Below are 5228 nucleotides of genomic sequence, written 5' to 3'. Positions count from 1 at the left end.
TACTGTTTGTCTCTTGTATTCTTATTTGTCATAAACACAAATTACATACTTCCCCATGGCCAGAATTAGATGTCTTCTATATCATTGGAAAGCTATATGACCATAAAGCAGATACATTACATTCAAAATAACAAGTAATTAATAATGAAAGACAAAATTTAATCAAGGCCTATATTTTTCTCCAACATAATCACTGTCCCACAATCACATGCAGGAAAAAAAAAAACATGCTCTGCTCAATCATGAATATCACTATTATTAATATGGAATTATCAACTTAGGTGGTGATTAAGCCATGTCAAAGGCAGATCACGAAACAGGAATTACTGACCATAGATCCTTCTTCCAAAGACACTAGGAGATGCTTTGCAATGTAGACTAGTTGGAGCAGAGAAGTTGTGCTGATATATCCTGAAAAAGGGAAAAGAATTAAAAAGAAGTGTCCTCCTGACCTGGAAGGAAAATATTTGTATCTTTGTAATTTAAGCAAGTAGATGAAAATGCTGAAAAAAGAATAGTAAAAATATGAATGAAGTTCTACCAGTAGAAGGAATATGCTTCTGTAAGAATCCTACCCAAATTTTCATTCCCATAATATCAGACTAGAAGTGATATGTAGGTCAGCGATCACATTTTGCAGATGAGTCTATTACACAAATAATCCACACCAAAGTAGCACTTAGATCTCAAGTCTCCAAATCTGCTTTTAGTGGTTTTATAAAAGCACTTCCAAAAAGCTGCCTTTATTGAACTTACACTTGAGTAAACCAAGATAAAGTGACACTGATTGTCAAAGTTACAATAATACCCAATAGGTGCAGGGACTGAATGAAAAGCAACAAACAAGCTCGTTTTTCTAATTAGCCTCAAACAATAGTCTATATGTGTTCTCCACAAGCCACTTGAAGATGGCATTTCCTTCCCACCAGTGTCATCCCTCCCTGCTTGAAGTGTTGTCCCCAAATGCCCCTACAAAGCTGCAAACTCCATAAGATATCATACCTTCAGACCTCATTGAACTTCCACAGACATACCTAGAGAGGATGCCTTTGTCCATTTCTCTGATACACTTTGCTACCTTGCCCCCAGTCTCACAACCAGCTTATGTGGCTACCTCCTGTAGCTCCTGTCTAAAGAAGCCAGGCATAACTAACTGGCTAAGAAAACAATATATAATGAGGAAACAGTGCAGACCTAGTCTAACTATGGGAGAGGTACTGACAGAAGGACAGACAGACCTTAAAGTAGTTTTAGCCAGACGTTTAGAGAGCTAAATTCTCAAGTTTTCTGAAGAACCCATAAACAACTGGAACTGTTTTCTTTCATATCCCTGCCCACTCAAGGATAAAATTACCAGATGCTCCTTTTTGTTGAGAGAAAATCAGTTTACCCAAAAAGATGCTAACAAGATTCACTTGGAACATCAATTTTTCTCTGTCCTCTCTCCTTCCTTTATAAAATTTGTTTTTTACATTTTTCCTTAACTTGTTCGACCAATTCTCTCACATATAAGTCAACAATTTTCCTGCAAGATAACTACAGGTTTCTAAGTTTTTCTTTGGGACAATCGTTTTTAAAATTTTTGTGGGTACATAGTAGGTATACATATATTTATGGGATACATGAGATATTTTGATACAGACATACAGTGTATGATAATCATATCAAAATAAATGAGGTATCCATCACCTCAAGCATTCATCATTTGTGTTACATGCAATCCAATTATACTATTTTACTTATTTTTCAATGTACAATAAATTACTGTCGACTGCAGTTGCCCTGTTGTGCTATCAAATACTAAATCTTATTCACTCTATTTAACTATATTTTTGTACCCATTAACCATCTCCACTTACCCCCTACCTTTCATTACCCTTCCCAGCCTCTGGTAACCATCATTCTACTTTCTATCTCCTTGAGTTCAATTGTTTTAATTTTTAGATCTCACAAATGAATGAGAACACGTGAAGATTATCTTTCTCTGCCTCACTTACTTTACTTAATATGATGTCCTCCAGTTCCATCCATGTTGTTGCAAATTACAGGATCTCATTCTTTTCTATCACTCCATTGTGTGTAGGTACACTTTCTTTATCCATTCATCTCTTAATGGACACTTAGATTGCTTCCAAATTTGGCTATTGTGAATACTGCTGCAATAAACATTGGAGTGCAGATATCTCTTCATTATAACGACTTACTTTCTTTTGGGTATGTACCTAGCAGTGGGATTACTGGATCATATAGTAGCTCTATTTTTAGTTTTTTGAGAAACTTTCATGCTGCTCTCCACAGTAGTTGTAATTTACATTCCCACCAAAAGTGTACTACTGTTCCCTTTTCTCTACATCCTTGCCTTTTTTTGTTATTTCCTGCTTTTGGATAAAAGCTATTTTAACTCAGTGAGATGATATCTCATTACATTTTTGATTTGCCTTTCTAAGATGATCAATGATAGTAAGCACATTTTCATATACTTGTTTGCCATGTGTATGTCTTCTTTTGACAAATGCCTGTTCAGATATCTTGCCCTTACACACCCACCAACAGTGTACTACTGTTCCCTTTTCTCTACATCCTTGCCTTTTGTTACTTCCAGCTTCTGGATAAAAGTTATTTTAAGTTAGATGATATCTTATCATATTTTTTATTTGGATTTGATTTGCATCTGATGATCAATGATGGTAAGCACCTTTTCATATATCTGTTTGCCATTTGTATGTCTTCTTTTGAGAAACTCCTGTTCAGATCTTTTGCTCATATTTAAATTGGATTATTAGATTGTTTTTCGTATTAAGTTGTCTAAGCTATTTACTTATTCTAGTTATTAATGCCTTATCAGATGGAGAGTACAAATATTTTCTTCCATTCTGTGGTTTGCCTCTTAACTTTGTTGATTGTTTCCTTTGTGCTGCAGAAGCTTTTTACTTGATGTGATCCCATTTATCCACTTTTGCTTCAGTTGCTTGTGCTTAGGGTATTACTTAAGAAATCTTTGCCCAGAAATCTTTCTTTTTTTTCTTTATTTATAATACTTCAAGTTTTAGGGTACATGTGCACAACGTGCAGTTTTGTTACATATGTATACATGTGCCATGTTGGTGTGCTGCACCCATTAACTCATCATTTACATTAGGTGTATCTCCTAATGTTATTGCTCCCCCTTACCACCACCCCACAAGAAGCCCCAGTGTGTGATGTTCCCCTTCCTGTGTCCAAGCATTCTCATTGTTCAATTCCCACCTATGAGTGAGAACATGTGGTGTTTGGTTTTTTGTTCTTGTGATAGTTTGCTCAGAATGATGGTTTCCAGCTTCATCCATGTCCCTAAAAAGGATATGAACTCATCGTTTTTAATGGCTGCATAGTATTCCATGGTGTATATGTGCCACATTTTCTTAATCCAGTCTATCATTGTTGGACATTTGGGTTGGCTGCAAGTCTTTGCTATTGTGAATAGTGCCGCAATAAATATACGTGTGCATGTGTCTTTATAGCAGCATGATTTATAATCCTTTGGGTATATACCCAGTAATGCGATGGCTGGGTCAAATGGTATTTCTAGTTCTAGATTGCTGAGGAATTGCCACACGGTCTTCCACAATCGCTGAACTAGTTTACAGTCCCACCAACAGTGTAAAAGTGTTCCTATTACTCCACATCCTCTCCAGCACCTGTTGTTTCCTGACTTTTTAATGATCGCCATTCTAACTGGTGTGAGATGGTATCTCATTGTGGTTTTGATTTGCATTTCTCTCATGGTCAGTGATGATGAGCATTTTTTCATGTGTCTTTTGGCTGCATAAATGTCTTCTTTTGAGAAGTGTCTGTTCATATCCTTCACCCACTTGTTGATGGGGTTGTTTGTTTTTTCTTGTAAATTTGTTTGAGTTCTTTGTAGATTCTGGATATTAGACCTTTGTCAGATGAGTAGGTTGAAAAAAAATTCTCCATTCTGTAGGTTGGCTGTTCACTCTGATGGTGGTTCCTTTTGCTGTGCAGAAGCTCTTTAGTTTAATTAGATCCCATTTGTCAATTTTGGCTTTTCTTGCCATTGTTATTGGTGTTTTAGACATGAAGTCCTTGCCCATGCCTATGTCCTGAATGGTATTGCCTAGGTTTCCTCTAGGGTTTTTATAGTTTTAGGTCTAACATGTAAGTCTTTAATCCATCTTGAATTAATTTTTGTATAAGGTGTAAGGAAAGGATCCGGTTTCACCTTTCTACATATCGCTAGCCAGTTTTCCCAGCACCATTTATTAAATAGGCAATCCTTTCCCCATTGCTTGTTTTTGTCACGTTTGTCAATGATCAGATGGTTGTAGATGTGTGGTATTATTTCTGAGGGATCTGTCCTGTTCCATTGGTCTATATCTCTGATTGGGTAACAGCATCATGCTGTTTTGGTTACTGTAGCCTTGTAGTATAGTTTGAAGTCAGGTAGCGTAATGCCTCCAGCTTTGTTCTTTTGGCTTAGGATTGCTTGGCGATGTGGGCTTCTTTTTGGTTCCATATGAACGTTAAAGTAGTTTTTTCTAATTCTGTGAAGAAAGTCATTGGTAGGTTGATGGGGATGGCATTGAATCTATAAATTACCTTGGGCAGTATGGCCATTTTCACGATATTCATTCTTCCTACCCATGAGCATGGAATGTTCTTCCATTTCTTTGTATCCTGTTTCATTTCACTGAGCAGTGGTTTGTAGTTCTCCTTGAAGAGGTCCTTCACATCCCTTGTAAGTTGGATTCCTAGGTATTTTATTCTCTTTGAAACAACTGTGAATGGGAGTTCACTCATGATTTGGCTCTCTGTTTATCTGTTATTGGTGTATAAGGGTGCTTGTGATTTTTGCACATTGCTTTTGTATCCTGAGAATTTACTGAAGCAGCTTTTCAGCTTAAGGATATTTTTGGCTGAGACGATGGGGTTTTCTAGATATACAATCATGTCATTTACAAACAGGGACAATTCGACTTCCTCTTTTCCTACTTGAACACGTTTATTTCTTTCTCCTGACTGATTGCCCTGGCCAGAACTTCCAACACTATGTTGAATAGGAGTGGTGAGACAGGGCATCCCTCTCTTGTGCCAGTTTTCAAAGAGAATGCTTCCAGTTTTTGTCCATTCAGTATGATATTGGCTGTGGGTTTCTCATAGATAGCTCTTATTATTGTGATCAAGTGGGCTTCATCCCTGGGATGCAAGGCTGGTTCAACATACGAAAA

At 36.9% G+C, this 5228-nt stretch overlaps 1 long non-coding RNA gene across 5 annotated transcripts in view; it reads right to left on the bottom strand.

Annotated features, from left to right (window-relative positions):
- The window catches only part of CCDST (cervical cancer associated DHX9 suppressive transcript), a 177390-nt gene that overhangs the window by 64528 nt on the left and 107634 nt on the right, over positions 1 to 5228 (bottom strand). The window lies entirely within an intron of this gene.

This window comes from Homo sapiens, chromosome 1 (assembly GCF_000001405.40).
Source record: "Homo sapiens chromosome 1, GRCh38.p14 Primary Assembly".
Lineage (NCBI taxonomy): Eukaryota > Metazoa > Chordata > Mammalia > Primates > Hominidae > Homo > Homo sapiens.
This window is presented reverse-complemented; position numbering and strand designations above follow the sequence as displayed.